Raw genomic sequence first — 12,040 nt, forward strand, 5'->3', positions numbered from 1 at the left:
ACCTGAGGTCACAAAGGTGCTGGCCAGGGAGGGAAGAATGCCAATGTGTGGGCCTGGGGCAGAGCAAGTAAGGAGGAAAGCAGCACAGGATGTAGGGCCTTTTGTATGTCATGATGGGCTTGACTGCAGTTCATCCTAAGTACAGCATGGAAGTGTGAGGGGCTTTTAAGTAGACAGTGAGAGTCACAGTTTTAAAAGAGAATTCTGTTTCTTTAGAGAATTGATAAAAAGGGGAAAAATGCAGAACTGGGGAGACGTGCCAGGAGGCTACCTTAGCTGTTCAGGTGAGAAGACGCTGTCCTAGAAAAGGGTGTCGGGAACAAGAAAGGGAAGAGGGTAGAGTGGAGGCGAGTTTTGGAGAAAAAAGTTGACAGGGCATGGTGGTCCACTACATGTGGGGTGAGGAAGAGGGGTCGGGGAAGGGGGTGGAGGATGAGGAGGAATCAAAGCTGAATCGCTGGTTTCTGGCTCAATGTCTAGACTGATGATGATGCTGTTGATGGAGAAGGCAGTCAGGGAGGAGCAGGTGGGGCACGGGGGAGGGGAAGCCAGAGATTTTGGCTGGGCCTTTGAGATGCTAATAAGACATCAGAGCAGAGATGTGAAGTAGGCAGTGGGTTATCAAGCCTAGCGCTTGAAGATGACAACTTTTGTGTATGAGTAAGAATACAGGCCCTAGCCCAGCCTGTCTGAGTTTGAATCTTGGCTCTGCCATTTACTGCGACTTGAGCAAATTATCAACTTTTTTGTGCCTCCGTTTCTTCATCTGAAAGTGGAAGTAATGATAGTATCCACCTCGTGTTGTTAGGGGACATAAAGCAGTTCTTTGAACAGTGCCTGGCACGTGAGAGCTAATACTTACATAGCACTTATTGTTGTCACTGTTAGGACCTCCGCATTTGGGAGTCACTAGCGTTCATTCTTCTAGATGATATTTCAGGTTGTGGGTGTGGAGGAGCTTACCAGGGAAAAGAGCTTAGAGGAAGAACACTGAGGAGCCCTGAGGTTTTCTGTTTGGCTAGAGGAGGAGCCGCAAGAGGAAAAGCAGAATAAGATGAGCCAAGCAGGGCTCTAGGAGCTGAGAGGTTGGAGAGAGGAGGACAGAAATGTTTATCGTCATTGGAAACATGAAGGTTTTTGGTGACCTTGACCAAGGCCATCTCCTTGGACTCGAGAGGGGACACCCAACTGCAGTGGTTTTGGGAGTGAATGGAGGTGAGGGTGCGTGGACTGCATGTGGGTAATCCTTAAGAGAAAGCTGGTTTCGTGAAGGGGGACAGAAAGGGCAGGAGATGGGGGAAAAGAAAGGATTAAGATGAGAGAGCCTAGAGTATGTCTATTAGCTGGTGGGGTGCTGGAGTGATGAGGGAAGGAGAGGAACAGATAGGTGAAGCAGCAAAGAGGGGAGAGTTTGCCCATCCCAAAGACATGAGTCTCCTTCCCCATAGGAGACTGTAGGCCCCTGGAACACAGCAGCTGGGGCTTATTTATGTTAATAGTCTTCCTAATAAGTCACATCATACCTTGCAGGAAAAGTCTGAACTGAATAGAATTGGGGCAGGGTATTTTATTATATGGATGTATTTATTTTTGTCTTATAGTCTAAATGCCCAGCCGAAAGTGTCGACAGCTCTGGGAAAACAGCTTTACATTATGCAGGTAACTTTCATTCTCCTATTTGTCTTCTTCTGCCATTAGAAACACCAACTTTTCTTTTTCCTTATTCAGGCCATTAACCTTCCATACTATTCCTGGTGCTCTTTTCTGTCATCATTTCTAAACATTCCCATTTTACTCTGTTTGTAAAACATACACAGTTTTACCGAGGCATATGCCTAGAATTCATCAATTCCTTTGCCACCTAACCACTGAAAATTATCACGATTAATATATTTTAACTAATTTAAGGTTTCTTTTTAAACTAAGAGATATTCTAAGCATTTGTAGATTTCAGGTAATGTGTGATACAGACTTTTTGATTTGAGGATTATTATGAACATCAGTCAATTTTATTTACTAATATTTTGTTTAGTATGATTACACAACTTGAAGTGACAAACGTTGACACTGAACTATGAGTGATTAGATTTACACATGTGTTTTATTGCTAGTTGTGGAAAAGCTAAGTCCTGTGAAAACCTGAGCCAAATATTTGCCTAAAGGCAACTGGCAGTCATTGGCTTTAGGCCTGCATAACTCTGAAATTAAGCAGTAATTTTAAACACCTCACTCCTAACCTTCCTAATACCATTTCTCTTCAATGCAACTAGAGTGAATATATGTAGAGTGGGTAGAACATGAACATTTCCTTCCTGAAGTATCTGATACCCCTGGTTGTGAATAACTGTGTGATTGGCTGTGGTATTTATATTTTCCTTCCCCCAGCGGCTCAGGGCTGCCTTCAAGCTGTGCAGATTCTCTGCGAACACAAGAGCCCCATAAACCTCAAAGATTTGGTAAGTACCAGGTGGTCACTAGAGGCAGAGGTAGACATTGGTTTCTAGAGCTCAATGGGATACCTCTAGAGTCACTGAGACTTTAGACTAGCAGTCTCCAACCTTTTTGGCATCAGGGGCTGATTTTGAGGAAGATAATTTTTCCATGGATGGGGGTGGGGATGGTTTCAGGATGAAACTACTGCAGCTCAGGTCATCAGGCATTGGAGTGCACAACCTAGATCCCTCACGTGCTCAGTTCACAATAGGGTTTGTGCTCCTATGAGAATCCAGTACTGCTGCTGATCTTATAGGCAGTACTGCTCACTCGCCTGCCACTTACTCCCCGCTGTGCAGCCAGATCCTAACAGGCCACAGACTGGTACTGATCTGCAGCCCCTGGGTTGGGTACTCCTGTTTTAGACAACTAAGTATTGGGCAAATTCTATTGCTTTTCAACCTAGATTCTCTTCTGCAAAATGGATTTATGTATTACTCTTAACCCTTTTCCCATTTGCTCCAAGAATACTCACCAGTGGCGTTTGGGGATACAGCATTTACCTCAAGATAACTTTGCCACGAAATATCTCATTTTTATTATTATTATTTTCCCATCACTCTAGTGTATTGACTTTGGAAACAAAAGACATCATTCTGTTTATAGCATTCTGTTTTTAGTAGTGGTATTTCCATTTACAAAATGTAGTAATTCTCGACCACTGAAAATGTCAAATCCTAGAAAACGTAGCATTCCTATGTGTGATGTTAATATCGTTCTCAAAGAGATCTTGGCTGAAGATTCATTTGATGAATCCGATTTTTCTGAGACAGATGATTCTGGTGTTAGTTCTGTTTAGAAATAACTCCAAGAACAGTTTTTATATTTTATTTTCACATTGAAAATCAGTCAGATTTTCTTCAGCCTCAAAGAGTGTGTTTATATAAAATTAAATGAGCTCTGGCAGAGAGCTGCACTTTTTTTTTTTTTTCTAAACTGGGAAGAAGGTTAATTAGCTTCTAAAACATTAGTAAAACATTTTGCAGCATATATTTCCTATATAGGTATATTTATTTCTACGGCTATACATGTTTTCTACCATCAATGTAATTACAAATAAAGCTTAATTTCTTGATTTTTAAAAATAAGTCTAAATAGAAATTTTACTACTTTCTTTCTGCACTTGGATAACTTCTACGTAGAATCTCCCAACTTTGAAGACCATTACTAGGCTATTTTAACTTCACCAGGCTACTTTGAGAATAAATTTATATACCTATCACATGGTTCTGTCATGGGGTTATATTTCATGTTGCAGCATGAGAACTGACATGCATACACTTATATTTGATGGAGATGCTGTGAAGTGACTAGATAGAATCTGTAAATAAATTCATATTCCTTGAAGTTCAGTACTTCCTAAGCAGAAAGTAGTATAACTTCACAGAGATAGTGCCCAGAAATCTATCTGAAATTCTTTATGACAATACTCAATCTTTAAGTAGCACTTGTATTTTTAAATAGTTGGATATATTGTAACATCTTTTCCCTTTGCCTATTGAATGCTTCTACCTTAAAACTCACTGTCGATGGATTTATAGGGTATATTCCAGAAAAAAAACAAAATAACAACTTCTCTTTATGGTTTGTGTCAGACCTAAGATTACAAAAAATACTTATGTATATTCTTCTAGTATTTTTCATCATTTGTTTTATATTGTAATGTTTAAATGCTTAATCCACCTGACATAGTTTGTATATGAGTTGGAGACCTAGATTTCCTTTTTCCCAAAGGGGTTGCAATTGTCATGACATAATTATTCTTTCTATCCATTTCTTTATCTAGTCATGTGTTAGTAACAGACATAGGCTCTTAATTTATGTTATATTTTGATACATAGCAAGATTACTAAAGGGTACACTTTCGGTAAAAGTGGAATGGCAGGATATATAATGATTAGTGCACTGGGAATAAGCTGCCTACAGGGCAGTGGGATCTTCTGGTGTCGTGCGGAGACACGCCCTTCCTTTCTCCAGCACCGTCCCTCAGTATACCCGGTACACTTGCCTTGAGCCTTTACACACTTTGTGTTCTGTCCTCTCTCACAGTCACCCAAACAGTGATAGCCAAGGGCATAAGCAGCCGCAAGAAGCTGGAGCTCCTATGTAAAAGCTAGCATTCAGTAAAATTCCATAACAAGAGTTGTGCCAACATACAATCGTGACTCTATAGGGGTACAGAATATCAGGTTGGACCAGATACTAGATCAGCAGTCAGCAGTCCAAGTCAGGAGAAAAATGTGCAAAAAACAGGGGCTGACTTTTGCAATTCTGGCATTTTGTGCCTGAGGTAAAATCTAAATCTGAATTTGTCTCCTAGGATGGGAATATACCGCTGCTTCTTGCTGTACAAAATGGTCACAGTGAGATCTGTCACTTTCTCCTGGATCATGGAGCAGATGTCAATTCCAGGAACAAAAGTGGAAGGTACTCCAGAATTAGGCAGAAATCATGTGACTTCAGTGATACCCACATTCTGAGAGTATTTCAAAATATCACAGCTATATTTTGGATCATTTGTTATAAGGGATTTTTAACTTCTTACCTTTTTAAAGTTCTACTGTTTCTGATAATCAAGAATCTATGTTGACTTTAAAGCAATTTTCCCCAGACATCTGTGGACATCATTGCTGGCTAAGTCTGTGAGGAGACTATTAAATGCTAATGTGAATAAACAATTTCCTGTGACTTTCTATGCAAAATAAAACAAACCTATTGGTTGTTTTGGAGAAATGGTCTTAGAAATATATATGTTATTTAAAATGCTTGAGGTAAAACAAGGATAAGATTCATGCCAGTCATATTAAATCCCATCATATTATGCCAAATAGTATAGAAGATTGTGTTGTTTGACAAAATGTGGTTTAATGTTTTGATTTAATCTGAAGTTTAAAAAAAAAAAAAACCACCTAATTTCATCTTGATTGCATTCCACTTCGAATTCCCTGAAGATTAAGTGTAATAAAGGTTTAACTGCACTTAATCTTCTTTTCTCTTTTTTTAAGACAACTGATTTCCCAAGAAAGACTTTTTACATTCTCTTAGTACTAATTTTGTGTCTCTTTTTTCCTTTAGAACTGCTCTCATGCTGGCCTGTGAGATTGGCAGCTCTAACGCTGTGGAAGCCTTAATTAAAAAGGGTGCAGACCTAAACCTTGTAGATTCTCTTGGATACAATGCCTTACATTATTCCAAACTCTCAGAAAATGCAGGAATTCAAAGCCTTCTATTATCAAAAATCTCTCAGGATGCTGGTATGTAAAAGAAAATAGCCAATGTTGTTTTAAGTTTATCCACTCCATTTTCCCCAAAGGATAAAGGAATGTGTGCAATATGATATATTTTATTATTCTTTTAAACATATTCTTGAAAAAAAAAGGAGTGTTAAAAAATATTGTATATGGTGTATGTGTGTGTATCCCCCCACCCAAAGTGAATATGAATCATTATGCTTCTTATAGTTCTTTTTTTCACTTTTTCCTCTATAGATTTAAAGACCCCAACAAAACCAAAGCAGGTATTTATCTTTGGGGGAGGCTTCTATGTTTCATTTATGCTTGTGGGAATTTAAAAATGTTCAGATTTAACCACTCTGGTCCACTAGTAAAGTAATAAAGACTATATTGAAAATACTTAGGGACTGAAATATCTTTGAATAAATAAGTCATTGTTATAAGGTGTTAAAGGTTGCCAGGCCGGGCCGGTGGCTCACGCCTGTAATCCCAGCACTTTGGGAGGCCGAGGCTGGTGGATCACCTGAGGTCGGGAGTTCAAGACCACCCTGACCAACATGGAGAAACCCCGCCTCTACTAATATTACAATATTAGCCGGGCATGGTGGTGCGTGCCTGTAATCCCAGCTGCTCGGGAGGCTGAGGCAGGAGAATCACTTGAACCCAGGAGGCAGAGGTTGCGGTGAGCTGAGATTGCACGATTGCACTCCATCCTGGGCAACAAGAGTGAAACTCCGTCTCAAAAAAAAAAGGTGGTAAAGCTTTCCTTAATAATTTGCTTTATTTCAAAAGCATGTAACTTTAAACTTGCTACTTATATGTTCATCTTTTTCTGAAATGTACTAACTCATACTTCCTATTGGTGTGAAAATGTTTGATGTGGCTTAAACTCTGTGACTGAATAACACTGTTTTAAATACTTGTAATATCACATGAGCTACAGAGCTTCAGCCAGAAAATGTTAGCTATTTAATGAAAATAAGAGAATTTAGCCTTTTCTTTTAATTAGGGTTTTTCTAGAACGTCATGTGGTGTTACACAAAGTAGAAATTGAGTTTGCCCTGTTATTGTGTAGTTTTTTCTAAAAATATATTGTCACTATCTGTTTTTTTGATGAACAGTATATGTTTGGTTGTTTATTTATTTACACATCTACGTTCTTGAAGAAATCATAAACAGCAAATACTCAATACTAAATTTATGTGCTAACTGTATTACTTACCAGTAACCTTCAAAAATGAAGTTATCCCTTTCCCTCATATTTATAGTCTTTAAAAAAAGGAATGGAAGTAATGCAGACGTGTGGGAAATACCATTGCTTTTCATTAATACAGAAAGCTGGCTGTGATTGTATTCTGGATTCTAAGTTGTAGTAGACCTCAACCTCTACTTTCCCAGTTCTCCACACCAACCTAATCTGGTTTTGTCTCATGTGTTTTTATTTTCTTGCTATTAAAGCATGGGCTGCTAGGAGAATACTTGTGCATGCATATTATTTATTTTTATGTTGGTAGCAGATTTCAGATTTTGATAAAGTAAGAAATGTATGAACTTTTGAGGTTTTTCTCATGTGTTTGATAAAGCTACTTGCCCAGACTTTACTAACCAAACTAACCCACCTCCATTCTTTGGACTGTGATAACTTTCAGCATGACCAAGTCTCTAAAATAAGCTCAGAAAGAAGTGGAACTCCAAAAAAACGCAAAGCTCCACCACCTCCTATCAGTCCTACCCAGGTAAAAACAAAAGCAAACCAACAATCAATAAACGCACCACAAGAAAGCCATAAATTTGTCATTTTGTTTAGGCCAAAAAGGAATGTTTTAGAACTGACCTTTAAGTGCATATTTAAAATTTTCCTTAGCAGTTTTAAATTACAAATTGTGGTAAGAAGGATTGATGATTAGTATGGAAATAATGTTGATTCTTATCTATTTTTAAAAAAACAGTAGAATCGAATAGCCTCTTTTTGAAAAGTCTCAAGGAAATTTCTCAAAATCTTATCACAGAAACTTTCCCTTAAGATAAGTTCAATTTATTTTTAGTTCCTTATGTTAAAAGATCTAGTAAGGACTGGGAGAATGAGTAGCCATTGAGGCAATTAGTTGAAAATGAATTTCAGTTCGTTTCTTAAAACATTGCTGCAATACATTTGCCTTTTTAATTGCTTTTAAGGTTGGCTAATATTAAAAGTAGTTTTCATTTCTGAGCTTTATAGTGACGGTTGCATAGAGGAGGAAGCTCAGTAATCTATGTAATGGCAGGTAAAAACACATCGAAATTTGTTATTTAAAAATTCATAGGCCATAAAGAGAATAATCCATATTTAAATAGTAGAGAGGAATAGCTCATCTCATAAGTATTTTTTAAATGTATGTTAGCATACTTATTAATATTCTTAACCTGCAATAGAAGTTTTATAGATTTTTAAAAAAGTGATTCTAATATAGGAGCACAGTTATATTCTGTAAACTTTCAGAAAGTATTTGAAGTAGCTGAATTGCACTGAAAATATTCTACCCGTGAATTAATTGATGCCAAGGATACTTACTGTTAGATTTCATTGCATTGGTTAAACAGGTTGATTCTTCGGCACTGGAGAAGAGGAGTTTGAAGATACATTCTTTATTAATGATTTTCATTTTGTTTCTTTTTTAGTTGAGTGATGTCTCTTCCCCAAGATCAATAACTTCGACTCCACTATCGGGAAAGGAATCGGTATTTTTTGCTGAACCACCCTTCAAGGTATTTCCTTTCTGTATTCAGTTTTGTTACTGTATTTTAAGATACATGATAGACTTGCTTTAAGTTATATAACACTGGGAAAAACAGAATATACTTCTGAATCATTGGTTCACAACCTTTTCACCATGAAGTACCCCTTGATTATTTTTTCTGGCATGGACCCCATAAAGCAAGAATGTGTACAGCTAGTTTGTATCCATAATAATTTAAAATTTTTAAAAAATCATTGAGTGAATAAATTAAATTTACAAACCAATAATTGATTTTCTTCATTTAAAAAAAAAAGAGACAAGAGGGCTGGGTGCAGTGGCTCACACCTGGAATCCCAGCACTTTGGGAGGCCAAGGTGGGCAGATCACCTGAGGTCAGGAGTTCAAGACCAGCTTGGCCAACAAGGCGAAACCCTATCTCTACTAAAAATACAAAAACTAGGCCGGGGTTGGTGGCTCACGCCTGTAATCCCAGCACTTTGGGAGGCTGAGGCAGGTGGATCACGAGGTCAAGAGATCGAGACCATCCTGGCCAACATGGTGAAACTCCGTCTCTACTAAAAGTACAAAAATTAGCTGGGCATGATGGTGCGCACCTTTAATCCCAGCTACTTAGGCGGCTGAGGCAGGAGAATCACTTACACCCAAGAGGCAGAGATTGCAGTGAGCCGAGATCGCGCCACTGCACTCTAGCTTGGCAACAGGGCGAGACTCCGTCTCAAAAAAAAAAAAAGAAAAGAAAAAAATACAAAAATTAGTTGGGCCTGGTGGCAGGCACCTGTAGTCCCAGCTACTCAGGAGGCTGAGGCAGGAGAATTACTTGAACCCAGGAGGCAGAGGTTGCAGTGAGCCAAGATCGGGCCACTGCACTCCAGCATGGGCGACAGAGCGAGTGTCTTGTGGTGGGGAGCAGGGACAAAGTTTACTTATATGGAATCTAAAAAAGTTGAACCCATAGAAGCAGAGAGTAGAATGATAATTGGGGGAGTGGTGGGAGGTATTGGGGAGATGTTGGCTAGACGGTACAACATTTCATCCAGATAAAAGGAATAAGTTCAAGAGATCCATGGTACAACATGGTGACTATAGTTAATAACAATGCATTGGATTCTGAAAATCACTCAGGGAGCAGATTTTAAGTGTTTTCATCACAAAAAATGATAAGTGTGTGAGATTAATTAGCTCCATGGCCTTTTCACATTATGTACGTATTTGCAGACATCATGATGTACATGGTAAATACATACAACTTTTATTTGTCAACTAAAAAATAAATTAATTTTTTCAAAAATAAGGTGTGGAAGTTACCAGCTTCTACCTGTTATTCTCCTCATTCTTTCCTGAATGCAGAATATTGAGGAAATGCCAAAAATTATATTTCAGGAACTTCTCTATTTATAATGAAATATTCTAGATTGGATCCTGGGACAGAAAAAGGCCATTATTCGAAAAACTGGCGCAATTTGAATAAAGTTGTAATTTAGATAGTAGTAATTTACCAATTGACAAATGTATAATGGCTACATCTGTTGTAAACATTAGAAGAAATAAGTGAAGGTTTCTATCTTGCAACTTTTTTATAAATCTTAAATTGCTCCAAATACAAAGTGCTAAAGTTTTTTTAAAAAGAGACAAAGATAAGAACTTACTAGATAAGCAGTCTTCTTACCCAATTAAGTTTATATTAATTCCAATCAAAGAGACAGAAACTTGTGTTATTCTCTGTTGTCTTACTGAGAATTGTATAGTTAATTTTTTTCCTGACTATAAAAGTAATATGTATTTATTTTACAAATGTTAGAAAATCCATTAGGTTTTATCCACCTGGTTCTGTAGATTTGTGGTTGCAAAACATTTTAAGGAAGTGGGAGGATATTTCCATTTAATATCTGTTTAATATACTGAGAAATTGTACTCAAGGGGGAAATAAAATTTATAATTGTTAACATGAAATTTCGATATTTTATATTTACTTACTTTCCCTTATTTAGAATTATTAAAGATGTTTTTTTTTAACTTGGATACACATTAATCTGAAACAGATTCTATCAACCTATCATTTCCCTCACTTTAGACTTTACTAATAAACTCTTCAGATGAATTTCTATGTAAGACAAGGCAACTATACTCTTATAGTTAGTACGATAATATCTTCTGATATGACTGTGCCTCAAAGAAGCAGTGCAATCCGAAGAATATCACAAATTATGATTTTTCAGAGGTAGAGTATAAGACTGTCATTTCTGAAAAAACAACAACAAAAAAAAACAAGATAAAAAGTGACATTTATTCCTACGTTAGCTTAGGGAGGAGACAAAAGTGATATCTAGGCCAGGCTCGGTGGCTCACAGCTCATGCCTGTAATCCCAGCACTTCGGGAGGCCAAAGCGGGTGGATCATGAGGTCAGGAGATCGAGACCGTCCTGGCTAACACAGTGAAACCCCGTCTCTACTAAAAATACAAAAAATTAGTCAGGTGTGGTGGCGGGCACCTGTAGTCCCAGCTACTGGGAAGGCTGAGGCAGGAGAATCGCTTGAACCTGGGAGGCAGAGGTTGCAGTGAACCAACATTGTGCCACTGCACTCCAGTCTGGGCGACAGACACTCCATCTCAAAAAAAAAAAAAAAAAGAAAAAGTGATATCTATTTAAAATGGCTAAAGTTTAAAAAGACTGATACTACCAAGTGAGGATTGAGGATGTTGCAGAACTAGAACTCCATTTCCTGCTGGTGGGAATCTAAAATGGTATAACTATTACCAGTTTGGAAAGCTGGAAGTTTCATTAAAGTTAAATATAAACCTAATATATGATCCAGCCATCCACTCATAGGTGTTTACCAAAATAAATGAAATTGTATGTTTAGACACAATCTTGTATGCAAATGTTTGTAGCAGCTTCATTCACAACCTCCCCAAATTGGAAGCAAACCAAATGTCCATGAACAAGTGAATAAAGATAATGAGATATACCCATATAATGAAATATTATCTGCCAATAAAGAGGAATGAACTGTAGTGCAAGTAACAACATAGTTGAATCTGAAAAGTCATCATGCTGAGAGAAGCCAGCCACCAAAAAATTCATATGGGATGACATTCCATTTATAGGAATTCTAAGAAATGTGAAAAAAAGAGTTGTGGTTGCCTAGGAATGATGCGGGCAAGGACTGGTTGTAATGAAGCATGAAGAAGCTTTTAGGCATAATGAACAGATTCTCTATCTTGACTATAGTGTTGGTTCCATAGGTATACATCTGTCAAAAACTCTTCAAATTGTAAACTTGGCTGGATGCAGTTTATTATACGTTATATAGTGGAAAATATAAAAACAAGTAAATTTGTTATAAAAGTGAAAGGACTGCTTTTTGTAAAGATAAGCACTTAACTAAAAATAAGCTACTTTATTATTTAGCATTTGGGCTTTTACAAAGGTATCTCTGCTGAAAAATTCTCTTATCATTGACTGGCTCATTCGGATGCCACATTGTAATTTTTAGCAAGTCACTGTAATGTTTTGAAATGAGATTGTGGCTTTGAAGTTCCAAGAATTTTTATGGTATATTAACAGATATTCAGGG

General features: G+C 37.5%; 1 protein-coding gene across 23 annotated transcripts in view, besides 1 other annotated feature; it reads left to right on the forward strand.

Moving 5' to 3' along the window:
• Positions 1-12,040, forward strand: part of RAI14 (retinoic acid induced 14) — a 176,285-nt gene that overhangs the window by 149,871 nt on the left and 14,374 nt on the right. For 16 of the 23 annotated variants that reach the window (NM_015577.3, XM_047417088.1, NM_001145520.1 and 13 more), the window contains 7 exons: positions 1,602-1,659; positions 2,386-2,456; positions 4,814-4,920; positions 5,569-5,747; positions 5,982-6,010; positions 7,376-7,462; positions 8,385-8,471. In NM_015577.3, the coding sequence (NP_056392.2) occupies positions 1,602-1,659; positions 2,386-2,456; positions 4,814-4,920; positions 5,569-5,747; positions 5,982-6,010; positions 7,376-7,462; positions 8,385-8,471 (618 nt within the window). Of the gene's footprint in view, positions 1-265; positions 285-1,601; positions 1,660-2,385; positions 2,457-4,813; positions 4,921-5,568; positions 5,748-5,981; positions 6,011-7,375; positions 7,463-8,384; positions 8,472-12,040 lie in introns of those variants that run through there. The other 7 variants (NM_001145522.2, XM_047417092.1, XM_017009335.2 and 4 more) reach the window with 2 other exon arrangements.
• Positions 11,452-11,652: a silencer, noted in NCBI's record as "peak5222 fragment used in MPRA reporter construct". NCBI's record gives its function as "represses an SCP1 promoter by STARR-seq MPRAs in K562 erythroleukemia cells {active_cell/tissue: K562}" and the evidence as "EXISTENCE:reporter gene assay evidence [ECO:0000049][PMID:32103011]".

Source organism: Homo sapiens, chromosome 5, assembly GCF_000001405.40.
Source record: "Homo sapiens chromosome 5, GRCh38.p14 Primary Assembly".
Classification (NCBI taxonomy): domain Eukaryota; kingdom Metazoa; phylum Chordata; class Mammalia; order Primates; family Hominidae; genus Homo; species Homo sapiens.